Source organism: Homo sapiens, chromosome 5, assembly GCF_000001405.40.
Source record: "Homo sapiens chromosome 5, GRCh38.p14 Primary Assembly".
Lineage (NCBI taxonomy): Eukaryota > Metazoa > Chordata > Mammalia > Primates > Hominidae > Homo > Homo sapiens.
In genome coordinates, this window is record NC_000005.10 from 80660682 (window position 1) to 80686513 (window position 25832).

Here is a 25832-nt window from a genome sequence, read left to right on the forward strand (position 1 = left end):
GTTGTCTTTTTCTCTGGTTGCTTTTAAGATTTTCTCTTAATCACTGATTTTCATGTTTGATTTTCTTTCTGCCCCATATAATCTGCAGGAACCCATATTTGATTTTGGTGGACCTTGTCTCTTTCCCCCACACCCGAGACAGCCTGTGCTGTCTAGCACAGGCTGGAGTGCAGTGGCACAATCTCAGCTGACTGCAACCTCTGCCCCGCCAAGTTTAAGCAATTCTCCTGCCTCAGCCTCTGGAGTAGCTGGGATTACAGGCACTCGCCACCACGCCTGGTTAATTTTTGTATTTTTAATAGAGATGGGGTTTCACCATGTTGGCCATGTTGGTCTTGAACTCCTGACCTCGTGATCTACCCGCCTCGGCCTCCCAAAGTGCTAGGATTACAGGCATGAGCCACCGTGCCCAGCTGCCTTTGTCTGGTTTTTAATTTTTATTTCTTCATTTATTTTTATCCTGTTTAGAGCTCATTTAAAGCTTCTCGAGTCTGTGGGTTTATAGGTCTTATTAAATGTGGGAAACTTTTTTGGTTGTTATTGTTTCACATTTTTTCTGTCTTCCTGTCTCTTGTGTCTCCTTCTGAGAGTTTATTACGGGGATGTTAACTATTTGGTGTTATCTGTTAAGTCATTGAGGCTCTTTCCATTTGTTTTCCAGGCTTATTTCTCTTTGTACTTCATTGTGGATAGATTCTACTGCTCTGTTTTCAAGTTCAGTGGTCTTTTTTTCTGCTATGTCTAATCTGCTGTAAATCTCGTTTAATAAAATGTTCGTTTTCCATATTGTATGTTTCATCTCCAGAAGTTCCATTTTGTTCTTTTAAAATATTTTCCAGTTCTCTATATGAATTATATCTCAGTAAAGCTAAAAAAAATTCCTTTTGCTCCTCTTTTTGCTCATGTTTTCCTTTACATTCTTAATTATATGGAGCATATTTATAAATTGTATTTTCTTGTTCTTATATGCTAATTGCATCATATCTGTCATTTCTGGGGCTGCATCCCTTGACAGATTTTTCCTATTTTTTGCATGTCTAGTAACTAATTATTTGGATCATGGATATGTTGAATCTGTGTTGTCTCCTGCTGGAGTTTGTATTTCTTTAGAGTGTTGGACTCTGTTCTGGCAAGCAATTAAATTCCTTTGGATCACTTTGGTCTTTTTAAGGATTGTTTTTAAACTTCGGTAGAGAATAATAGCCCTTACTCTAGAGCAACTTTAGTCACATTCTACGGCTTGACCTTTTTAGAGTTAGAAAGGGGGTGCATAGTAGCAGTAGCACACCATTATATCGTATTTCCACAATACAGAGACAGTAGACATTAGTAACATTAAGAATGTAAACACAGCCATATGCTACCTAATGACAGTCAGTGAGGGACCACCTATACAACATTAATCTCATAAGATTATAATAGGTATTTTTGCTGTACCATTTCTATGTTTAAATATGTTTAGATACACAGATACTTACCATTGTGTTACAGTTGTCTCTAGTATTCAGTACAGTAACATGCTATACAGGTTTATAACCCGGGAGCAATAAACTATACCATATAGCCTAGGTGTGTAGGAGGCTATACCATCATCTAGGTTTGTGTAAGTACACTCTCTGATGTGCACACAATGATGAAATCACCTAATGACACATTCTTCATAACATATCCCCATCATTAAATGATGCAAGACTGTCAACACCTGTAGTAAGTTTTAGGCAGTGAGTATTTATTATTCATCTAGTAGCATCTGCCAGACATAAGAGTCCCTGATTATTTCATCTCTGTTTTTAACACTTTGGTTTTAAATACTGTCAAAGTCAAATAAAATATAGGGACAAATCTCTAAAACATTTTATTTGGGGCGGGGCACGGTGGCTCACGCCTTTAATCACAGCACTTTGGGAGGCGGAGGCAGGCGGATCACCTGAGTTCAGGAGTTCGAGACCAGCCTGGCCAACATGATGAAACCCCGTCTCTACTAAAAATACAAAAATTAGCCAGATATGGTGGCACACACCTGTAATCCCAGCTATTCAGGAGGCTGAAGTAGGAGAATTACTTGAATCCAGGAGGCAGAGGTTGCAGTGAGCCGAGATCGCGCCATTGCACTCCAGCCTGGGTGACAGAGTGAGACTCTGTCTCAAAAAAAAAAAAAATTTTATTTGGGAAGCAAGAATTGCAATTTGGGACATACACACAGACCAGGTGGTCTTTGGTATGTTTGAAGCACAAAGAGAAAATTGGAGGTTTTATTAAAAAGGAGAAATAAGCCAGGAGCAGTGGCTCACATCTGTATTCCTAACGCTTTGAGAGGCCAAAGCAGGAAGATTATTTGAGCCCAGGAGTCAGAGACCAGCCTAGGCAACATAGGGAGACCCTGTCTATACAAAAAATTAAAAAAAAATTAGTTGGCCATGGTGGCACTTGCCTGTAGTTCCAGCTACTCAGGAGGCTGAGGTGGGAGGATCTCTTGAGCCTGGGAGGTCAAGGTTGGAAAAAGAAAATGTATTGTTTTGAACGAAGGTTCATTGGTACTTGGAAAATTTGGAGTAACTGGCAAGCTCTGATTAGTGAATGACTGCAATGGGTAAAACTAGCCATAGAGTCACAGCAGGTTGTTTTAGCAGCTATCAGGTAAAATTGGTTTCAGGTTACAGTAGGCAGTTTCAGCAGCTAGGCTTGCAGAGAATTACATTTTTGGAGCAATGATATGTGCTCTCAGTGCTTTTTCCCCTGGCCTCTCTACTCCATTTCAATTGAGTATGACAAGAATGACCCAATTTATATGATCAACTTTCACAATACTTTTTTTTTTTTTCCCAGCAAATACAACTCCAAGATCTTCATCCCACTTTCATTCCAGGCAGTTTTTTTTTATGTCTATAGGAGGGAAACTCTTTGTATAACATACACACTTATAGTATATTTTTGAAGAGCGATACAAATATACATTTCAAAAAAGAGAGTAATAGTAAACAAGGTGAATATACATTTGAGAAAAGAGTCAAATTTAAATTTTTGTGGCTAGAAAATTCACAGGAGATCTAATGAAAGCCTGTGAAGAGGTTTAAATATAAATAGGGAAAATTTTAAACTATTTTTTTTGAAGCAACAAAAGCAGAGATTTATTGGAAACAAAAAGTACACTCCACAGGGTGGGAGTGGGCCCTAGCAAGCAGCTTGGGAGCAATTTTAAACTTTTAGAAATGAACAAAACACAACTCTTGCCCTCAGAGTGTTTTTGCTTTAATAGGGAAGGTAAGAGGTGATAAATGTGTGCAGTCCCAGTTCCTTTACATTTAATAGCACCAACCTAATAGTAGTGCTCTAAACGGTGAAATACTGTGTTCTAGTACATGGTAGGGATCCAGAAAATGATAGTTTCCCTTCTTTTATGGATTGCTTGTTTATGAAAAACTGCCAATTGGCAGACTGTGATGAGTGCCACAGGGAGATGTGATCTTGTTAGAGGAACACAGAGAAAGAAAAGATGATTTTAAGCTGTGAAAATTAGCAGAAGGTTTTATGGGAAAGGTAGATTTGAGATGGGTCTTGAAGAATGAATACAATTTTGACATGCAGAAAGCATATCATGGGCAAAGTGATGGTGTTTCTGAGTATGGTGATTTGGTTTTCTTGGTAAACCCCTGATGTCAATATCAAGTCTTTCCGCTTGAGCTAGTAAGATTTCCCAGTCAAGAGTCCTCCCAGCTTCTGCCTGGAGGGGAGTAGGAGTGCTCTGGCTTCCTGGGTTCTGGAGAGGCCGTGGATCTCAGCATACATTGTGTCTGTGTTCCTAATCGTCCTTCTGGGTTAGGTACAGTACTCCATCAACTGTGCTTGTTTTGCCTTTCCAGGGAAGAAATCTCCAGTTGGCTGCTGATGTGGAGGAAGGACAGTTGTCTTTGAGCTTGGAGTATGGTAGGGGTTTAGGGAACAAATTGCTTTGAACCAATCCTCTTTATTTTAGAACCTCCCTTTATTCCTTTCCAGAGCTACTGGTACTCTAATTCCTGAGTCTTTTGAGCATTTTGTGTTGTAATTAGAGTTGGCTCTTGGTTTTCCTAATTACTGACTTAGTATTTAGCTCTCAGGTGTGCTGAATTGGTTACTGTTCATTTGTTTTCCTTTCTAGCTTTAGATATCTCATTTGCAGTTGTTACCTCTCCTCTCTGTCCTTATGGGCTTATGTCTTCAAAAAAAAACAAAAACAAAAAAGAAAAAAAACCTCTACTATAGTAATGAGGTTTCAGGAATGAGTGAAATTGCATCTGTGTTTAATATGCCATCTTTACCCTGAACCCAGTGTTTCTTTCTTTTTTTAAAAAAATCACATTATAGTTAGATTCATTGCTTTATTGGGAATCTACCTCTTTAAAAAATTCTATGCTGGTTATGAATTGACATAATGAGACCAAAATTACTATTGTTCTGTTTTCTTCTTATTTGCTGCCTAAGAGCCAAAGAAATGTCTGAGGACCAGGAATGTTTCAAAGTCTCTGGAAAAATTGAAAGAATTCTGCTGCGATTCTGCCCTTCCTCAAAGTAGAGTCCAGACAGAATCTCTGCAGGAGAGATTTGCAGTTCTGCCAAAATGTACTGATTTTGATGATATCAGTCTTCTACACGCAAAGAATGCAGTTTCTTCTGAAGATTCGAAACGTCAAATTAATCAAAAGGTATGTAACTGCTATAGATGAGTATCCAGTTACCTAGAATAGTGGGTTCTGAAGTACTGTCAGGTTCTCTGAGGTCATTCATGGCAATGGTTCCTAAACTTGGATGGTCTTCTGAATCATCTGAGGGAGCTTTTGTGTTTTAGTTTAGTTTTCTTACATCCCTGGAGATTCGATTTACTGTGTTTTGGGAGGGATTAATTGGTTTGTATGGGAACAAAACAAAAGCCTTCCAGGTAATTCTGAGGTATTGCCTGGATCAGGAGCCCTTGACTTGGAGGGATTCTTTATTGAGAATTAATACAAGCACAGTTTCTTACAGTCTTCCTTAGAGTTTCCATGATTACCGTGGAAAATCATGATGGGCAACTTAGATATTTTGAGGTTTCAGTTGAAAGCTTGATAGATAGAAAGTAAATTCAAATGTAAGCCAAATGAACATGGGCTTTTTACTTTATCCACTATTTGTTTTGAGACTTTTAATGGTTTTCATAACTGCAGAATCAGGGAATTTAACTCATGCTCCATCATTGAAATCTGTAATTCAGAATAGTGATTGGTTCGCAACCTTAGCTTTACATTGGAATCACCTGGAGAACTTCAAACAAAAATTGCCATTAAGAACCTTCCCTCAGAATCTTATCTAATTGGTTTTCACTGACAAATGGGCATGGATATTTTTTAAAAGTTTACATTTTATTTTGTATTTTATTTTTATTGATGGAGTCTTGCTCTGTTGTCCAGGCTAGAGTACAGTTGTGCGATTATAGTTCACTGTAGTCTCAAACTTCTGGTCTCAAGCAATCCTCCCACCTTAGCCTGCAGATGAGGTGAGACTAAAGGAAAAGCAGTCATTTTAATCTGTAGCTGTGATTGACAACCATTGAATTAGAGAAATGGTTCTATATATGTATATGTATGTGTGTATGTATATATATGAGTCATTGAAATTCTAATGAAAGCTGTTGGCCTTTTTCTTCAGAAAAATTCTCAAGCCAACAAAATTTTGCCTATAATTTTCAAGATTTCACACCTTTCCCACAAAGCCCAGATCCATGAACTCCTCCCTCAGCCAGGCTAATATTGATTGACTTATCTTAGATCATCAAGAAAAAAAAGGTGTTTTTGTTTTTAGTCTCTTTTAATACTTAGAAGCAGTTCACCTAAGTATAGTGGTTATTAAGCATAGAAGTCATAAAGTTTATCCATTAAAGCTCACTTTATTGATAGGAGCATTTACTCCAAGGTCTCAGAAGAGCGTATACATTATTGCTTTATACATAGAATGACCAACTTGGCATGTCCACATCACAGGAAATTAGAAGTAAGTAGACAGAGGGGGCACGTAGAAGCAGTGCCATTATTACAGGTGATAAGCTGTTTGATGGCATGGATAGACGTGGATGAATGGCAAAAAGCTACTGAGTGAACATAAATGCCCCATGGTCCAGGACCATTAGGGTGGGGTCAGCAATGCCATAACTCTCAATAGGTTTCGAAATATATTCTGATCACTCTGAATTGTCCAGACAAGGTTAAATTGAGTTCAGCATACTGTCTCTGGGAATATGAAATAGAATGTAATGTATCTGATGAGTATTTCTATCCAAATCATTTTTTTTAAAGTTGCTTATTTTGTTACCCAGGTATTAATATGTACAACAAACCCTCATGACACAAGTTTTCCTATATAACAAACCTGCACATGTACCCCTGAACTTAAAATGAAAGTTAAAAAAAAGTTGCTTAATATTCAAGTATTTAGATTGATTTAATTGTTAGCATCCCATAAGGATAAAACTTTTTTTTCCTGGAAGCTTATCTCATTTCCTAAAAGAATAAAGTATAAAGTAAGAATAAGTTTTTACAATGTAAGAAATATATTTTCTGTGTTGATTAACTTTTATACTACATAGTATATACCTGCATTTAATATAGAATACATACTATATTCCATGACATAAAAGTCATGGAAACAAAATAGGAAACTCATCAAAATTAAAAGCAAAGGCATTCTTAGGTATAGGAAAATTGTTATGCAATCCTTGGGGTGTTGCTTCGCCAGCTGTAAACCTCTGTGGCTGGTGGTGCCTTTGCCCGAGTTTTTACTTGGGCCTGCTGGGCTCATTCCTCCCACTCGGCCTGGCAGGCTGTGCTTGGCTTTTGCTTTTGGCCTGAATCTCGCAGCTGCCAAGGGTGAGCCAGGAGTGGAGTGGTGAGGGTGAGGGGTGTGTGAGCAGGTGACCATGGGGTCTGGCCCCTGTGCACTGCCAGGCATGCTGGCTTCGGCAGGGTGGGCAGCTCCAGGTGCCAGCGTGAGTGAGGGCTGGACCAGGCGTACCACAAACAGCTTCCACAGCTGGCACCAGGGAACACAGTGGCGCCCAGAAGCTTGGAGATTCCAGGAACTGCAGAGCCCCAGAGAGGGTGTCATAGACCTGGCTTAGGAGCCCCTAGGTCTGAGCTCCCCAGAGGTCCACAGCTCTTCTCTCCTGTCTTCTCTCCTTCTTGTTGCTGCAATGTGGCAAGCAAGAGATGGGTTTCAGGCCTGTTTGTGTTACAGCTCTTTTAGCCCTGCCATTCGGTGGGTCCCAGGTTCTTGTCCTGCTTCCAGGAAGAATGAAGTATGTGGACGAGTGGAGGGTGAGCAAGGCAAAGAGGGGCTTCCTTGAGTGACAGAACATTGAGGGGAGACCCGCAGTGGGTGCTTCTTTCTGCAGGCAGGGCATCCCATCAAGTGAGAAGTGATGAGCCTTCAGCCGAGAGGGGACCCTGGAGTGGGTAGCTCCTCTCCGCAGGCAGGTTGTCTGCTTGTCTCTTCAAGTTTGGCCGAGTCTGGGGATTTGTATGGGCTTGAGAGGAGGAAGTGTGTGCTGATTGGTTCATGGGCTGCCATGGGCGGGCTCAGAAAACACCGTAAGTTCTAATTCTGGTTCGTCAGCCTGGCCCCCAGGCTTCAGGCTGTTCCTGGCTTGAAGGTGGGGCTTCACCCGGACCTGACCCTTTCTGCTCAGGAGCCTGTCTGCCTCCTGCCGTCATCCATGGCACCCAGGCTGTTTGTGCCATGGGGCACCTGCAGGACAGCTCTGAGCTGCCCTCAGCCCTCTCCTTGGCCTCCTTCCCATGTTCATCAGTGTCCAAAGTCCAGAGGGGGCCGAGGCAGCAGGGGGCTGGCATGTTAGCACTGCCCTGAGCATGTGCACACCCAGCCAGGTTGCAACAGTTCCTAGGCTTGGCCTTAACTTTGAGATCAGAGTGGGTGCTGGGAGCTGGGAGAGGCCAGGCAGTCGGAGCAGGTACTTCTGAGCCTGCAGAGGGAGGGGGAATTCCCTTTCTGGGCCCTTGAGATTGCAGAGATGCCCGGGTCCACAGCCACAGCTTGGGTGGCTGTGGCTGCAGCTGCACCCAGGAGGGTGGGGCTCCTGCCTGCTCCCAGCCCCCAAGAGCACAGGGATGCCCAGGTTTGCAGCCACAACTGGGCAGCCACAGCTGTGCCCAGGGAGCGTGAGGCTCTCACCCTGCCAACTCAGAAGGGGGCGAGGCTTCTTCCACCCATTTCTGGCTCCTGTCGGTTCTGTGGAGCATGCAGCCCTGGCTGCGCCTCTCCTACTGCAGCTGGCGTTACGGCAGTGGCTGCTCCAGATGGGCTGCCATTGCCATCATAATGACCTGGATTTCTCTTGCCAACCTCTCCATGCCTCACCGTCTTCTTATTGCTGATCTTTGGAGGTTTGCTGGACTGCACTGTTCAAATAAATTGAGTTTTTTTTGAAAAGTTAGTATCTTTACCTGATGTCCCGGTGAAGCTGAATTGTTTTAAACATTTGGGAACTACAAAGTGTACATGTTTCTGGGTTTTCTTTTGGATTGGGGTTCCCATTTCTGGGCCATTTTGCTTCTCTCTCACTCTCCCCTCTTCTTTTTGGTCACTAGATTTTTAGGCCATATTTTTCATTGTAGGGGGAGCTGGGTAAATTTTTAGAAGTTGGCAGTGACAGAGTGGCAATTAATTAGAAGTTGGATTTAGCCAACTATAAATTTGTCTCATTTACATTTTTCTAAATTAAGTCTAATAAGCGAGGAATTTTCCCTAAGCTGTGAATTGGAATTAATTATGGTTCCTCACAGAAAGGTAAGAATAGTAGGAGTACTAATGTTGAAAATGTGGCCTTGTGCTGTAAATTTTTTAACAGCTCTTTCTCATGTTTCTTTACCAAGAGAATCATGGTTCTTTCTTTCTATAAGAATTTATAGAATGTGCTGTCTTTTACAGTGTGCTTGGAAGTATAAAACATTAAGTGCAGCTTTATCTGTTGGCATGCTTTGCTCAAAGTGGTTTTGCCCTACTCCTGAGAGAGAGCCAGATTTGTCCCCATTGGCCTTTTGTGCATTACACACCTTAGAATAAATAATAAAAAGAAAATAAGTGTTAATAATAATAGATTTAATGAAATCAAATTTAAAAACAAGTATGTAAAACATTAAGATATTTAGACTTTCAAAATTTGCATAAAAATTCTATGATAGCTTACTTGGTTCATAATTTTTTTTAACCTTCTACTTTGAAAATATTTGTAACCTATGGATAGTTTGCCGGAATGCTACAATGTGCTTCTATAAACTTTTCATCTAGATTCACTAAGTGTTAGCTTTTTGCCAGATTTGCATTTTCCGTCTCTGGGAACTTATTATTGTGGTTAATATTTTTAAAACTTTATACATCTTTTGGTTGCCAGGACACAACACTTTTTGATCTCAGTCAGTTTGGATCATCAAATACAAGTCATGAAAATTTACAGAAAACTGCTTCCAAATCAGCTAACAAACGGTCCAAAAGCATCTATACGCCGCTAGAATTACAATACATAGAAATGAAGCAGCAGCACAAAGATGCAGTTTTGTGTGTGGAATGTGGATATAAGTATAGATTCTTTGGGGAAGATGCAGAGGTAAGTCGTCTTTTCAGGCACTATTTTATATTTTTCTTGTCTAGCCTTAGATATTTTTCAGTATTTTTGTTTCATTTTCTGACCTTATATAAAAGCTGATTTGATCAATCACCTTTTAAAAAATACTGTTATGTAAAGTAAAAACTAAAAATGAACACAAGAAACTTGGTGGGAACCAGACTTGGTGGGAAAAAGTGAGGGGTCTCTATTGGAATGTTAGCGCTTATTCTCCGTGGTACTAGGCCAGTACTTTTTATCCATCCAAAGTTAATTGGATGAGTCAATTAGTGAATAAACCGTAATCATGTAAATATGTTTTCTAATGAAGACTCAAGCAAGAAAACATTTTTGAGATGTATAGAAGTTCCTCTGTTTACTCTTAATTTATGAATTTTCATAGCCAGGAACAAAGTTAAGTCTCAATGGAAGAACACGTGAACTTTACCAGCTACCACCAGAAGTTGTTTGAAGTTTTACAGATCTCTTTGGGTGTCAGTCAACTTGGTGTCTTAGTCTAAATTGGGATTGTGCCAGGTGTGGTGGCTCATGCTTATAATCCCAGCACTTCGGGAAGCTGAGGTGGGTGGATCACTTGAGGTCAGGAGTTTGAGACCAGCCTGGCCAACATGGTGAAACCGCATCTCTACTAAAAATATTAAAAAAATTAGCCCGGTGTGGTGGTGCATGCCTTTAGTCCCAGCTCCTCAGGAGGCTGAGGCAGGAGAGTCGCTTGAACCCGGGAGATGGAGGTTGCAGTGAGCCGAGATCCTGCCATTGCACTCTAGCCTGGGCGGCACAGCAAGACTCTGTCTCAAAAAAAAAAAAAAATTGGGATTGTATTTAATGTTGAAATATTTATTATAGGCCCTAGTCAAGAAGGTTGAAAGTGAAATTTGAACATTTCATAGGCAAACTTAGGGAAAGTATTGCAGATGACACCTTTGTTGGAAGTCATGAATGCTTGTGATGATTCTATAGTTTGGGACCTGGTTGGATTGTACACTAGAGAGTGATGAGGTAGCATGTCTGTGCTTCTTGGATGGGAAGTAAAGACTTGGCCAACTTTTTTTCTTCAAGTTTCCTAAATCCTCTGTGGCAGGCAAGCAGCGTTCTCAAAGTCAGATGCATTATGCAATGTTCTGTGATATTAAATTAGGCTCTGAGATAATGTCACCATGTTTTCTGAGGGCAGGAACAAATATGTAGTTGTCATCCCCTAGGCGAAGGAGAGAAACTGTCTAGGTTAAACGGTAAATTCAGACCTGACCACGGTAAAGGCTGATGTTTTTCTGCCCTTCTGTGAGGGACTAATAGAGTTCAGAGAAGGGGTGAGGTTGGGGAGCGAGAGTGTTAGAATTAGAGTTCCATGGCTTCAGTGGGCAATATCTAAGCCATGGTGCTTTCTAGAGGAAATCAGGGAATCACATGGTGCTTCATGGTTCTATATTTCTATCAGTCGTGCATCATTAATTAGTTAGCCAGCCTGGGGTTTCTCTTTTTACTTTTTCAATGATTTCTCTGTCCGGATGGGTTCATCATTTCTGCATACTCTGTAGTGTCTTCTAAATGTCAGTCATTTGCACATGCCATGTAGCAAATTCTTACTCTTTTACAGTCTCATGATCTCTGTATTGGATAGTCTTTGTGTAGGGAAAGCTCTAAGGATGTAGAAGACCTGTCATATTTTTCTGAGTCTTTTATAGATACAGATGTTGATACTGAAGTTAGGTCACTGGAACTGCCCAAAATACATTAAACCATAGGCTTCTATACAGGGAACATTTTTTTAAACTTTTTATTGACATAGTACACATTTAGATTAAGTGTACAAATCCTAAATGTATACCTTGATTAATTTTTAATAAAGTGAACCAACATCACATAGGGAATCTTAAAATATAAATTTATTGATATTTTCTTTTTTCATTTTTTAGATTGCAGCCCGAGAGCTCAATATTTATTGCCATTTAGATCACAACTTTATGACAGCAAGTATACCTACTCACAGACTGTTTGTTCATGTACGCCGCCTGGTGGCAAAAGGATATAAGGTCAGCTTTGGCTTTAACTTGTGGGGAAAGGAAATTGGGATTCTCCTCCAGAGAGTGCAAACGTGTTTTGTAAGGTGGTAGGTAGGCTTCAATTGGTTTAGAATTTTGCATTTTACAGAACTGAAAGTGTTTCATAATTATTAGTATTATGTATTTATGAGTTTTTAACATATTGTTAGATATTTAGGGTAAATTTTTAAACTCTATGATAGTGTTTCTTAGCAAATTATCCACCCTTGTCAACTCCTTTAAACCCTACATCTGAACGTTGTGGACTGATTATTTTAACCATTTCAGAATTGACGTTTAAACATTTCGAAATGAGTTTTTACAAGTCATTTTTTATCCTTTGATAGCAATATTTCTTATTTTTGTTGAAGGTGGGAGTTGTGAAGCAAACTGAAACTGCAGCATTAAAGGCCATTGGAGACAACAGAAGTTCACTCTTTTCCCGGAAATTGACTGCCCTTTATACAAAATCTACACTTATTGGAGAAGATATCCTTTTTGGACGGGAGTTTTTCTCTTAAATGATACAAGGGCTTTGTTGGCAGGTTTTGTTTGTTTGTTTGTTTGTTTTTTAGTTGCTCTTTGGGAACTTTTTAGATGAGCTGAGAGGCATTAAGGTGAACCCTTGATTAGGTGTGCTATTCAAGAGGGAAGTAGTGGCTGGAAACAAGCATCTTTTCACATGTCATAGTAGAAGGCAAGTTCATCATACTTCAAGAGCAAGAAAAAAAGCAACCCTAATAAAAGACGATGTCAGGTTAGTATCTGATTTGAAATTATATCTTCCTTAGCCCATTTGTGGGAAGTAGTTAGGTGCTTAGGGCCTACAAGCTCCTCAGGGTCTTTCCAAAGTGAGACCTAAAAAGTAACTTATTGAAGCCAGGCGCTGTGGCTCATGCCTTTAATCCCAGCACTTTGGGAGACTGAAGTGGGCAGATTGCTTGAGCCCAGGAGTTTGAGACCAGCCTGGACAACATGGCAAAACCCCATCTCCACAAAAATACAAAAAATTAGCTGGGCATGTTGGCACTTGCCCGTAGTCCCAGCTACTTGGGTGGCTGAGGTGGGACAATCACGTCAGCCTAGGAAGTAGAGGCTGCAGTGAGCCGTGATCATGCCACTGCATTCCAGCCTGGGTGACAGGAGTGAGACCCTGTCTCAAACAAACAAACAAACAAACAAACCAAAAATTCAAAATGTGAAAAGAGAACTGGCTGAAGTCAGAATTAAGACAGAGTTAAATGCCTATAAAATATAGTGGTAGCCCGTCTTCATTAATTGTTAACTTTATAAAAATTTTATTACTTTTGAAAATGGGCTGTGGGTGAAGTTTTCTCACTTGGTAAGAATTTTCAATGTGCATAATGATTGCCCCTAAATTTACGGTCATTTATAAATGCAGTGTGTTATTTGATGCCAAATAATTTCAAAAGCAAAATTGTCAGTTTCAAAAGCCAAATAATTATATGTAAAATTAGACCAGGGTGCATTTAAAAAAAATTACTATGGGGGTGGAATCAGTTCTCTGATAATGGAAGAATGGAGAGATAAGAAGGCCTTAAATGATACTGTGTGAAAGTATTATTTCTGTTATGGTTTATTACAGATCTGCTTATTTCTCAGCTCATCTAATTCTAAGGACTGTTTTGTTCCATGAATACTATAAATAGGGAACAGCTATCACTCAAAATGGGCTCCAAACTATTAACAGCCTTGTGTTGTTCTAAGCTGATCAGGCTGTAAGAACCTGGTATTTTTATTTTTTCTTTTGCTAAAGCTTGAGTCTGTTATTTGAAGCCCATTTCTAGTACAGTCCCCCTCCCTGCTTTTCCTTTGCTGCTTTTATGGGTCCTATGTCCTGATGTCCAAAGATATGTCCAGACTTTGCCCCAAATCAGCTTTCATCCCTGAGATTTAGTTAATGGACTCATTTTATACACACATACACAGACATACATGCACATATAATGTATATATGTTTCTGTTTTCTCATGTCTTTAAAAAATTGTCTTGCTATATCTGGGAGCTTTTAGGTACATTAAAAAAGGAAAATAATTTACACCCTTTTAGTGTATTTATACTTTGAATTGTGGAATTAAACATTATGGGATTGTTAAGGATTCAAGTCTCAGCATCATCCAAGTGATGAAGTGGGTTGATATTTGGGCCTCCATGGGGTCTGGTGTACTCCACTAAGCCCTTTGGAAGTAAGATACTGGTTATCTGTCTTTATGCTCTTTATATCTTAGGAAAGATAAGGCATGCAACTATGATCCAAATAAATCAGAAGAATGAATACTGGGCAGAAGATTTTTGCAAAGGGCAGAAGTACTGTGTGAAATGAACCATCATTTTATTATTTTTTTCTTTATTTTTATTTTTTTATTTTGTAGAGACAGCATCTTGCTTTGTTGCCCAGGGTGGTCTCTCAAACTCCTAGCCTTAAGTAATCCTACCACCTTGGCCTCCTAAAGTGCTGGGATTACAGGTGTGAGCCACTGCGCCTGGCTGTGAACCATTATTTTAAAGGAGAAAATAGTTAATATTATTGGAAATTTAGCATATTAGGATTTAGAATTTAGCATATAATTATTTTTCTTTAATTATTATTAAATGTGAATCCCCTAATCAAGCTGGATGATGCTGTAAATGTTGATGAGATAATGACTGATACTTCTACCAGCTATCTTCTGTGCATCTCTGAAAATAAGGAAAATGTTAGGGACAAAAAAAAGGGCAACATTTTTATTGGCATTGTGGTAAGTACTTTGCAGGTGAGGAACAAATGTTAGATGTTCATGGTATCTCTAAATATGATCTATCATGTATGGTTTATAATAAGGATATCTGATGAAGTGTACCTTCAGATAATTATACAAGAAAAACATTTTTCTCACAATATTATATGTTAAATCGCTAGTTACAATTTTCTCATGGCTACTTGGTACTTGTAGCAGTCCATTCTCACGTTGCTATAAAGAACCACTTGAGACTGGGTAATTTATAAAGAAAAGAGGTTTAATTGGCTCATGGTTCCACAGGCTGTACAGGAAGCATGGCTGAGGAGGCCTCAGGAAACTTACAATCATGGCGAAAGGCGAAGGGGAAGCAGTGACATCTTCACAAGCACAAGGCTAGCAGGAGAGAGAGTGAAGGGGGAAGTGCTACACACTTTTAAACAACCAGATATTGTGAGAACTGTCATGAGAACAGCAAGGAGGAAATCTGGCCTCACAATCTAATCACCTCCCACCAGGTCTCCCCCTCAGCATTGGGGATTACAATTCAACATGAGGTTTGGGTGGGGACACAGCCAAACCATATCAATACTCTATGCTATGGAGAGATCCAGATGGTCTTGGTCCATGTGCCCTGAGATTTTAAGGTTGAAGATAGACACAATGGCAGACATATGTGTGGACAATGTACAGATAGCAGAATAAAACACTAAGCCAACACAAGCATGGTGGCAAAGTGTTCTATAAATTTCCTCTAGGGATTTGAAATTAAACATGAATGACTATGGTATTATATCTAGATTTGGAGGAGGGGATAGTTAAAGAGAAATGATAATTGGCTGATATAAAATACCATACTAAATTAATATTAGGATTATTTACAGTCAGTTTTCTAGATAAATGTAATTTGTGAATTATAGTTTTATTTATTTATTTCTTTGAGACGGAGTTTCACCCTTGTCACCCAGGCTGGAGTGCAATGGCGTGATCTTGGCTCACTGCAACCTCTGCCTCCTAGGTTCAAGCAATTCTCCTGCCTCAGCCTCCCGAGTAGCTGGGACTACAGTCACCCACCATCATACCAGGCTAATTTTTGTATTTTTAGTAGAAATGGGGTTTCACCACGTTGGACAGGCTGGTCTTGAACTCCTGACCTCAGGTGATCAGCCCACCTCGGCCTCCCAAAATGTTAGGATTACAGGCGTGAGCCACCACGCCTGGCCAACTCATAGTTTTATTGATTTTCTGGCAGTTTATGAATAAATTTGCTCATTTACAGACTTACGTGGACTCTGCTAAAGGTCTTAGACTTTTTAAGGCCCTTCAGAACAATCAGACACCCCTTTTCTGTTGTAAGTTAAGCACAAATGGAACTCTGTCCAAGTGAAAACTAATTCTCTTTGCTTTTTCTAATTTCTACGGTCAGTGGCAATATCAACAAAAATTCTTACCATCTGAATGTCTCCAATGTGCCTTTTAATACCTTATTTTGACTGCATAACTCTGTGTTAACTTGACATTTGCTTAACCAATAAGCCCTTCTTTCAGAGAGTTAGCATTCCTGTTGGTGTTAGACAGCTCTAAATGATATTTTTATCCTTGAGAAGCACGTTTTATCTAGCTACAGGCATTTGGACCTATATACAAATAGTAAAGTTATTTACTTTTAAGCTTTAACATATGTAATGTGCTATTTTATATTTACCTAAAACTCCTTCTAAAGAACAGAGTTGATAGTATATAATTCCTACTTAGTGCATTTAGAAATACCATCTGGCTTACCGCCAGAGTTAACCATGTGTGCGAACTGGGACTCGGAAAAATGAAAACAGCCGTTTGCCCTTCAAGCATTTTCTTTGGGGCTGTCCTTTACTTCAGCAACCACTTTTGGGCTGATGACATCCTGAGCTCTGGGTCCAGGCTGCACCTCTCTCGAGCTCCAGGCTCCTGCATCCAAATTTTTATTGAACAGAGATACTTAGAATTTACTCTGGCTCCTCAAACTCAGTGTGGCCAAAATTGATCTTATCTTCTTTTACCCTCGACACTGTTTTCCCTGTCACAATGGGTGTCACTCATTGCCTGGTCAGTACCTGGGAGTCACCTTTTGAGTATTGGTAATTAGTCTGAAATTCAAAGGGCTTTGCTGTTGTAGTATCACTGCAGTCAGGCTCTGTGCCTTCAGTCTGGGCAGTGCAGTTTTATACACACTGATTTTAGGTTTCTCAGTGTGATACATATCACACAGGGTGATAGATATTGTGGGTATTACAGTGTAGACCATTTCTCTGATTAAAGAAAAAGGGAATTTGGCTGACTGAAAAATTTGTTACTTTAACATCTGTACCTGGTTTTTGTAAATGCTTGGTTTGTAGATTGGTATATAAATTTACATGTGTATCCTTATGTACTGATAGTCCATCTCTCTAGGCTCTAGAGAAAGCCTCTGGGCTAGAATTAAGGATGTTCCTTAATTACAGTTAGAGGAGCTATAACACTGCCTCCAACCCATAAGATCCCTGGGTGTCCATTCCCTCCAGAGGTGTCTGTAATCCAGACTTTGAAGATGATAATTTCCTTGCTTTTAGTTGGAGCTTCTAGTTCCAGCCTTGCCACCTTAAACGTTATATACAAATGTAAATATAGTGTGTGTATTCTTTTGGGTTTTGCTCCTTTTGTTTACCATTTTGTATGTGAGATTTATTTACATGTGTCGCTGTAGTTCTCTCATTGCCTTTTCCTATTTCATTTTATGATCTACAGTTTATTCATTCCTGTTGATGGACATGTGCATTCTTTCTAGTTTACAGTTGTACAGAGAATGCTGCTGTAAATATTTTTGTATGTCTTGTATCGTATACAAATGCCTGAGTTTCTCCAGAGTATATCCTTGGGGGAGGAATTGCTGAATTATAGGGTGTGGATACTTCAACATTCCTAGATAATGCCTTGCTGTTGTCAGAAGTGGCTTTCCATCAGTAGTATATGAACATAGGGATTGGTGATTTTTCCTCTTTTTAGCTAATGCAGCCTGTAACTAGCCCCCATGGCTTTCATAAGCATCCGTAGTGGCTAACAGTGTGGATTGGGGAGTAGTCAGATTTCCTGGGTTTGAATCTTGACTCTACTCCATTGTCACTCTGGGACCTTGGCTAGAAACTTCCTATCACTTCTCCAAACCATGATCTTTTCCAGTTTATCTTTGCTATTATTGGCTTAGGATGTTAGGGAGCAGGTTCAAGTTGGCATGATTATTCTACTGGATAGACTGTCTACTTGGGCTTCATTCAGAGTTTGATAAAGTATACATTTTATGTGTTACTTTGATGTATGAAGTAGTAATTTACTACAGTACTGGTGGTCTGGTTACTAGGACCATGTCACTTGTTACTTTGAGTGATAACTACTATTTGTACAGTGCTTTATAGTTTACAAATAATTCCTGTTTATTTTATAATTTGATCCTTACAATAACCTTATGAGAGAAGTAGGCTGGTTTGGTTCCATTTACAGAGGAAGAAACTGAGGCCTGGCAGTGTTTGGTAACTTGCCATAGTCACTCCGTTAGGTATATTAACTCCAGGCCTTGTATTCAGGGCGGCTCTCGGAAATCTGATTTATAGTATCATTTAGATATCTGTGAGTCTGACTCTTCGTGTAAGAGTCCTGAAAAGCAGACAGGTTTCTAACACTTTAGAAATAGAGTACATACATACTCCTGAGTGTATCATCTTTACTTTTTCCATGTTTATGCTGTGTTATAGCCATAACTGGGGAAATACATTTTTTCTGTAACATTATATTTGTATTTGTTTTTAGGGAGTGCAGCCTGCCACAGGCGAGGTTGTGTTTGATAGTTTCCAGGACTCTGCTTCTCGTTCAGAGCTAGAAACCCGGATGTCAAGCCTGCAGCCAGTAGAGCTGCTGCTTCCTTCGGCCTTGTCCGAGCAAACAGAGGCGCTCATCCACAGAGCCACATCTGTTAGGTAAGTTGGCACATCACTGGAATATAATACCGATTCTGAAACTTAGGTTTAGTTCCAAAACTGATACTTATTAAAGTTGCTAAAAATAGTTTTTACTTACAAAAATTATATTTCCACTGTAGTAGTGGAAATTTAAAAAAAAAAGTAAAACAACAAAGCTGGGCATGGTGGCACATGCATGTAATCTCAGCCACTTGGGAGGCTGAGGAGGAAGGATTGCTTGAGCCCCGGAATCTGAGACCAGCCTGGGCAACTAAGGTGAGATCTCATATCTAAAAAACAAATAGAAGAAACACCACCTACCCCTACTATCACCTTAATGTAGAACTTTAGAAGGCAGTCTTTTTGAAGAGGTTTCTGATATTTAATGATATTATTTGATAATTATGGGGTTTATGATATTTAATTATTGGTAATCTTCAGTTTCTAGAGATAATTTAGAGTTCACTTCTTACAAAGTTTATGTAACTTTGGAGATGCTTTGTCTGTGCTGCAAGTTTCAATTCATGGCTGTGTCCAGTGGTTTTGTTTACTGGATCTAAGATCAGACCACTTACGTATGAAGCAGTGTGCTAGGCGCTGTGCGTACAGAGGAAGAAGATGTGGTTATGATATATGTCTGGCAGAGTTTACAACCTCACATGAGAGTCAGATGTGTGCATACCTAACTGGACTTAAAGGCATGATGTATTAAGTGCTAAACGTGAAGGTGCCTTGTTGGAAAGACTCCGTACTGCCACCTGGAGTGTGGTGGGAAAGAGACCAGAAAGGTGTGCTGGGGCTTCAGCGAAGTAGACTGTATATTGACGAATTTGGACTTTGGACTAGGCAGAGAAGCCCATGAGGATTTTCATGTAGTAGGTAGACAAATCATTTAGAAAATCGAGGCCAGGCACGGTGGCTCACGCCTGTAATCCTAGCACTTTGGGAGGCTGAGGCGGGTGGATCACCTGAGGTCAGCAGTTCAAGACAGCTTGGCCAAAACCCCGTTTCTACTAAAAAAAAAAAATACAAAAATTAGCTGGGTGTGGTGGCAGACACCTGTATTCCCAGCTACCCCGGAGGCTGAGGCAGGATAATCGCTTGAACTTGGGAAGCAGAGGTTGCAATGAGCCAAGATCACACCACTTCACTCCAGCCTGGGCGAAAGAGCAAGACTCTTATCTCAAAAAAAAAAAAAGAAAATCAAACTGATTGATTAAGTGAAGTTCCATATGTTTCTTTGTCCTTAGTGTTGTGTTCATTTTCATTTGAATTTAATTTCTTTCGAAGTAGCTTTCATAATTTGTTTTTCTGATTATAAAACTAATATATGTTCATTCAGAAGACAAAAAAAAAAGGATAAATTCATAAGTTGAATTCTGTAACCCAGAGAAAATGACTGTTAAACATTTTGGCACATTATTTCCGTGTGTGTATATCACTTTTTTCCATTTGTGAACTTGCATTCCTGCTGCAAAATCACTTTTCTATTCTGTGGTTTTTTTTTTTTTAACTTTACAATTCCCCATTTTTAAAAACTTTATTGCAGAACATTTCAAACATACACAAAATTATACAGAATAGTGTCATGAACTCCTGTCACTCTATTAGCCAGCTTCAGCATTTCTCAGGACCATTCTCATTTTTCTACACTCCCTCCCCTTTTCTCTCTCCCTTGATTATTGGCTTTGAAGCAAATCCTAGGGAGCATCAGTTTATCCTCTAATATTTCAGTAGGTACCCTTAAAAACAAAATAAGTACATGACATTGTCATATAAGTGTATCATAATTTATCCATTCCATTTTTATTATATTCATTTTTCCAGTATTATAAATACTGTTATGATGAATATCCATATACAGAAATACTCATGTGCGTTTCTGATGATTTCCTTAAGATAAATTCCTGAAAATGGAATTAACTGGATCAGAAGGTATGAATGTTTATAAAGCTCTTGATTGCTTGCTAGAAATGGTAATATCAATTTATACTTCTACCAGTATAGTCTAGGAGGGTTCTTTGAACCTTTGCTCACATTGAGGGTGATCATTTAAATAATCTTTGCCAGTCACATAGATGAAAAATTTTGCATCAAATCTCTTCATTTTGATCTTAATCCTTTTCTGACCATGTGTTCAAACTTGAATAATTAAAAGTCAAACAGTAAACTTGTAAGGAGAGCTGCTTTTACAGAACTAAAAAAATTAATAAAATCTGGAAAAAAATTTTTAAAGGTAGGCTTCTATATTGTATTTTCAATATTTCCTATCATTTCCTTGCTAGAAATGGTAATATGAGAAATGGTGATCAAGAGCTTTATAAACATTCATACCCTCTGATCCAGTTAATTCCATTTTCAGGAATTTATCTTAAGGAAATCATCAGAAATGCACATGAATATTTCTATATATGGATATTCATCATAACAGTATTTGTAATACTGAAAAAATGAATATAGAAATGGAATGGATAAATTATGATAAATTATGATAAATGGATAAATTATGATTTCCTGTCTTTGATTTAGTTCATTTTTCTTTATATTTTATTAACTTAGTATATATTTTATTAACTTAGTATATATTTTATTAATTTAGATTGAGTAAAGTCAATCAATTTTATCAACACATTCATTTTTTTGTTTTCTGCTTAATTTTATAAAATAACAATGGCGAAATTCAATAAAATATCAAAATATTTCATAATGACATTGTCAAAAGTGAATTTTTGTTTGTCAAGCAGCATTCATTGACTGGTGATATTCCTAAATGTTTGTTCATCACATGAGATTTAAAAGCTTGAATTTGGCATATCAAAGATAATTTAGGTGTCTTATGTGGGTTTTACCAAATTTAATGCCTGCTTTTGTCTTATTTTAATTTGAATTTCTCTAGTTAGCATTGTAAATAATTTTCTCTATGTTTACTGACCGTGTGTAATTTTTCAATCTTTGCACTTTTTTTTGTATCCTTTGATCATTTTCACTTTATTTGCATATTGGACTAAGCGAAGTCAAAAGTTAAATCTGCATTTCTGTGGAGTTCCTACAGCTAATTTATATCTATGGACAGAATGAAGTAGAGGAAATTCAAAAGTTAGCAGGGGTCAAACAGTGTGGACTCTTGTGACTCAGGGTTTGAGTTGGAAAACTAGCTCTTCCCTTTAGTGACTTTGAGTAAGTTATCTACTGTATTGTCCTTCAGTGTCCTTTATATTGGGGGTATTAAGAGTGCTTACCTCATGGGGTTGTTGTGAGGATTAAATAAGTTAATATAGGTAAAGCGCCTGAAATAGTACCTGCTGTAGAAGGCTCTCTGTAAGAGGAAGTTTTTTTTTTTATATTTTAATTAAATTTTCTGTGGCTGGGCGCAGTGGCTTATGCTTGTAATCCCAGCAGTTTGGGAGGCCAAGTCAGGCGGATCACAAGATCAGGAGTTCGAGACCAGCCTGACCAACATGGTGAAACCCCATCTCTACTAAAAATACAAAAATTAGCCAGGCATGGCTAAAGTTTTTTGTAGGTACATAATAGATGTATATATTTATGGGTTACATGAGATACTTTCATACAGGCATACAATGCATAATAATTACATCAGGGTAAATGGGGTATCCATCTCCTCAAGCATTTATCCTTTGTGTTACAAACAACCCAATTATACTCTTTTAGTTATTTTAAAATGTACAATTAAATGATTTTTGACTGTAGTCATTCTGTTGCACTATCAAATGCTAGGTCTTATTCTTTCTATTTTTTTTGTACCCATTAACCATCCCCAGTTCCCTTCTCAGCCTCTGGTAGCCATCTTTCTACTCTCTATCTCCATGAGTTCAGTTGTTTTAATTTTTAGCTCCCACAAGTAGGTGAGAACATGCAAAGTTTATCTTTCTGTGCCTGGCTTATTTCATGTAAAATAATGACCTCCAGTTCCATCCATGTTGTTGCAAATGACAGGATCTCATTCCTTTTCATGGCAGAATGCTACTCCATTGTATATATGTACTACATTTTCTTTACCCATTTGTCTGCTGACAGACACCTGGGTGCTCGCAAATCTTAGCTCTTGTGAATAGTGCTGTAGTAAACATGGGAGTGCACATATCTCTTCTATATACTGATTTCCCTTCTTTTGAGTATATATCTAGCAGTGGGATTGCTGGATCATGTGGTAGTTCTATTTTTAGTTTTTTGGTAGTTTTTTTTCAAACTACTCTCCATAGTGGTTGTACTAATTTACATTCCCACCAACAGTCTGTGAGGGTTCCCTTTTCTCCACATCCTCACCAGCATTTATTATTGCATGTCTTTGGATAAAAGCCATTTTAACTGAGGTGAGATGGTATCTCATTGTAGTTTTGATTTGGATTTCTGTAATGAACGATGGTGTTGAGAGCTTTTCACATACCAGGCTGCCATTGTATGTCTTCTTTTGAGAAATGTCTATTCAATTTGTCTATTTTTAAATTGGATAATTAGATTTTTCCTGTAGAGTTGTTTGAGCTCCTTATATATTGTGGTTATTAATCCCTTGTCACATGGGTGGTCTACATACATTTTCTTCCATTCCATGGGTTGTCTCTTCACTTTGTTGATTGTTTCTGTTGCTGTGCAGAAGCTTTTTAACTTCATGTGATCCCATTTGTCCATCTTTGCTTTGGTTGCCCTATTAAGAAATCTTTGCCCAGTTCAGTGTTCTGGAGAGTTTCCCCAATGTTTTATTTTAGTCATTTCATAGTGTGACATTTTAGATTTAAGTCTTTAATCCATTTTTGATTTGATTTTTGTATATGGTGAGAGATAGGGTCTAGTTTCATTGTTCTGCATATGGATGTCCAGTTTTCCCAGCACCATTTGTTGAAAAGATTCTTTCCTCAGTGTATGTTCTTGGCACCATTGTCAAAAATGAGTTCACTGTAGATGTATGGATTTATTTCTGGGTTTTCTGTTCTGTTCCAGTGGTCTGTGTGTCTGTTTTTATGCCAGTACCATGCCATTTTGGTTACTATAGCTCTGTAGTATAATTTGAAGTCAGGTAATGTGATACCTCCAATTTTGTCCTTTTTGCTTAGGATATATTTGGCTATTCTGAGTCTTTCGTTGCTCATATACATTTTAGGCTAATTTTTTCCATTTCTGTGAAAAATGTCACTGATATTTTGATAGGGATTGCGTTGAATCTGTAGATTGCTTTGGGTAGTATGGATGTTTGAACTATTCTTCCAATTCATGAACATGTAATATCTTTCCCTTTTTTGTGTGTTCTCTTCAATGTTTTACATCAGTGTTTTATAGTTTTCATTGTAGAGATCTTTCACTTCTTTGGTTAACTCCTAGATATTTTATTTTATTTGTAGCTATTGTAAATGGGATTACTTTTTTGATTTCTTTTTCATATTGTTCACTGTTAGCATATAGAAATGCTGCTGGTTTTTTGTATGTTGATTTTGTGTCCTGCAACTTTACTGAATTTGTTTGATCAGTTCTGACAGTTTTTTGGTAGTCTTTAGGTTTTTCCAAATGTAAGTTCATCTCATCTGCAAACAAGAATAATTAGACGTCCTCCTTTCCAATTTGGATGCCCTTTATTTCTTTGTCTTGTCTGATTGCCCTAGTTAGGACTATTATGTTGAATAGCAGTGGTGGTAGTGGGCATCATTATCGTACTTAGAGGAAAGGCTTGCAATATTTCTCAATTCAGTATGATAATAGCTGTGGGTCTGTTTTATATGTTGCTTTTGTTATGTTGAGGTATGTTCCTTCTATACCCAGTTGTTTGAGAGTTTTTATTATGAAGCGTTGTTGAATTTTATCAAATCCTTTTTCAGCATCAAATGAAATGATTATGTGTTTTTTTTTCTTCATTCTGTTAATATGATGTATCATAGTGACTGATTTGCATATGTTGAACCGTCTTTGCATCTCTGTGATAAATTCTACTTGGTCATGATAAATGATATTTTTAATGTGTTGTTGAATTCAGTTTGCTAGTATTTTGCTGAGGATTTTCGCATCAATATTCATCAAGAGATATTGGCCTCTAATTTTCTTTATTTGATATGAATTTGTCTCATTCTGGTATCAGGGTAATACTGGCCTCGTAGAATGAGTTTGGAAGTATTCTCCTTTTTTTTTTTTTTTTTTTTTTCCCAGAATAGTTTGAGGAAAATGGGTCTAGTTCTTTAAATGTTTGGTAGGATTCAGCAGTGAAGCTATTGGGTCCTGGGCTTTTCTTTGCTGGGAGACTTTATTATGGCTTCAATCTCGTTACTTGTTATTGGTCTGTTCAGGTTTTGGATTTCTTCGTGGTTCAATCTTGGTGGATTGTGTGTGTTTAGGAATTTATCCATTTCTTCTAGATTTTCGGATTTATTGGCATATGGTTGCTCATAGTAACCACTAATGATCCTTTGAATTCCTGTAGTATCAGTAGTAATGTCTTCTTTCTCATCTCTAATTTTGTTTATTTGGGGTTTCTCTCTTTTTTCACAGTCTGGGAAAGTCTTACCAATTTTATCTTTTCAAAAAACTAACTTTTGGTTTGTTGATCTTTTGTATTTTCTTTGTTTCAGTTTCATTTATTTCTGCTCTGATTTTTATTTTTATTTTATATTAATTTTGGGTTTGGTTTGCTCTTGCTTTTCTAGTTCTTCAAGGTTTATCATTTGGTTATTTATTTGAAATGTTTCCTCTTTTTTCATGTAGGTGCTTTTAGCTATAAACTTCCCTCTTAGTACAGCCGTCACTGTATCACATAGGTTTTGGTATGTGTTTTCATTATCATTTGTTTCAAGAAATTTTTAAATTTCCTTGTTGATCTCTTCATTGACCCACTGGCCATTCAGGAGCATATTGTTTAATTTCCATGTGTTTGTATAGTTTCCAAAATTATTCTTGTTTTCGATTTCTAGTTTTATTTCATTGTGGTCAGAGAAGATTCTTGATATTATTTCAGTTTTTTGAATGTTTTAAGACTTGTTTTGTGACCTAACATATGATCTAATCTCGAGAATGTTTAGATCATTCATGCTATAATGATCAGATCCTCTACATGCTGAGGAAAAGAAAGTGTATTCTGCAACCATTGAATGAAATGTTCTCTAAATATCTATTAGGATCATTTGGTCTGTAGTAAAGATTAAGTCTGACGTTTCTTTATTGATTTTCTGTCTGGAAGATCTGTCCAATGATGAAAGTGGGGTGTTGAAGTATCCAGCTGCTATTTTTTTTCTCTCTCTTTTTTTTGAGACAGAGTCTTGCTCTGTCACCCAGGGGGCAGTGCAGTGGCATGATCTCAGTACACTGCAACCTCTGCCTCCCGGGTTTAAGCGATTCTCGTGCCTCAGCCTCCCGAGTAGCTGGGATTACAGGCGTGCACCACCACGCCTGGCTAATTTTTTTTGTATTTTAGTAGAGACAGGATACGGGGTTTCACCAT

General features: G+C 38.2%; 1 protein-coding gene across 1 annotated transcript in view, besides 4 other annotated features; it reads left to right on the forward strand.

Moving 5' to 3' along the window:
- Positions 1-25832, forward strand: part of MSH3 (mutS homolog 3) — a 222164-nt gene that overhangs the window by 6030 nt on the left and 190302 nt on the right. The window contains exons 3-8 of the mRNA NM_002439.5: positions 4462-4682; positions 9416-9628; positions 11563-11679; positions 12060-12177; positions 14302-14447; positions 18246-18412. Coding sequence (NP_002430.3) covers positions 4462-4682; positions 9416-9628; positions 11563-11679; positions 12060-12177; positions 14302-14447; positions 18246-18412 — 982 coding nt within the window. The remainder of the gene's footprint in view (positions 1-4461; positions 4683-9415; positions 9629-11562; positions 11680-12059; positions 12178-14301; positions 14448-18245; positions 18413-25832) is intronic.
- Positions 6910-7477: an enhancer, noted in NCBI's record as "H3K27ac-H3K4me1 hESC enhancer chr5:79963410-79963977 (GRCh37/hg19 assembly coordinates)". NCBI's record gives its function as "activates a minimal SCP1, AML or CMV promoter by ChIP-STARR-seq in naive and primed H9 embryonic stem cells {active_cell/tissue: H9 hESC(naive and primed)}" and the evidence as "EXISTENCE:reporter gene assay evidence [ECO:0000049][PMID:30033119]".
- Positions 7478-8046: an enhancer, noted in NCBI's record as "H3K27ac-H3K4me1 hESC enhancer chr5:79963978-79964546 (GRCh37/hg19 assembly coordinates)". NCBI's record gives its function as "activates a minimal SCP1, AML or CMV promoter by ChIP-STARR-seq in naive and primed H9 embryonic stem cells {active_cell/tissue: H9 hESC(naive and primed)}" and the evidence as "EXISTENCE:reporter gene assay evidence [ECO:0000049][PMID:30033119]".
- Positions 11879-13078: an enhancer, noted in NCBI's record as "MED14-independent group 3 enhancer chr5:79968379-79969578 (GRCh37/hg19 assembly coordinates)". NCBI's record gives its function as "activates an origin of replication core promoter dependent on BRD2, BRD4, P300/CBP and CDK7 cofactors, and independent of MED14, by STARR-seq in HCT116 cells {active_cell/tissue: HCT116}" and the evidence as "EXISTENCE:reporter gene assay evidence [ECO:0000049][PMID:35650434]".
- Positions 14856-15056: a silencer, noted in NCBI's record as "peak5310 fragment used in MPRA reporter construct". NCBI's record gives its function as "represses an SCP1 promoter by STARR-seq MPRAs in K562 erythroleukemia cells {active_cell/tissue: K562}" and the evidence as "EXISTENCE:reporter gene assay evidence [ECO:0000049][PMID:32103011]".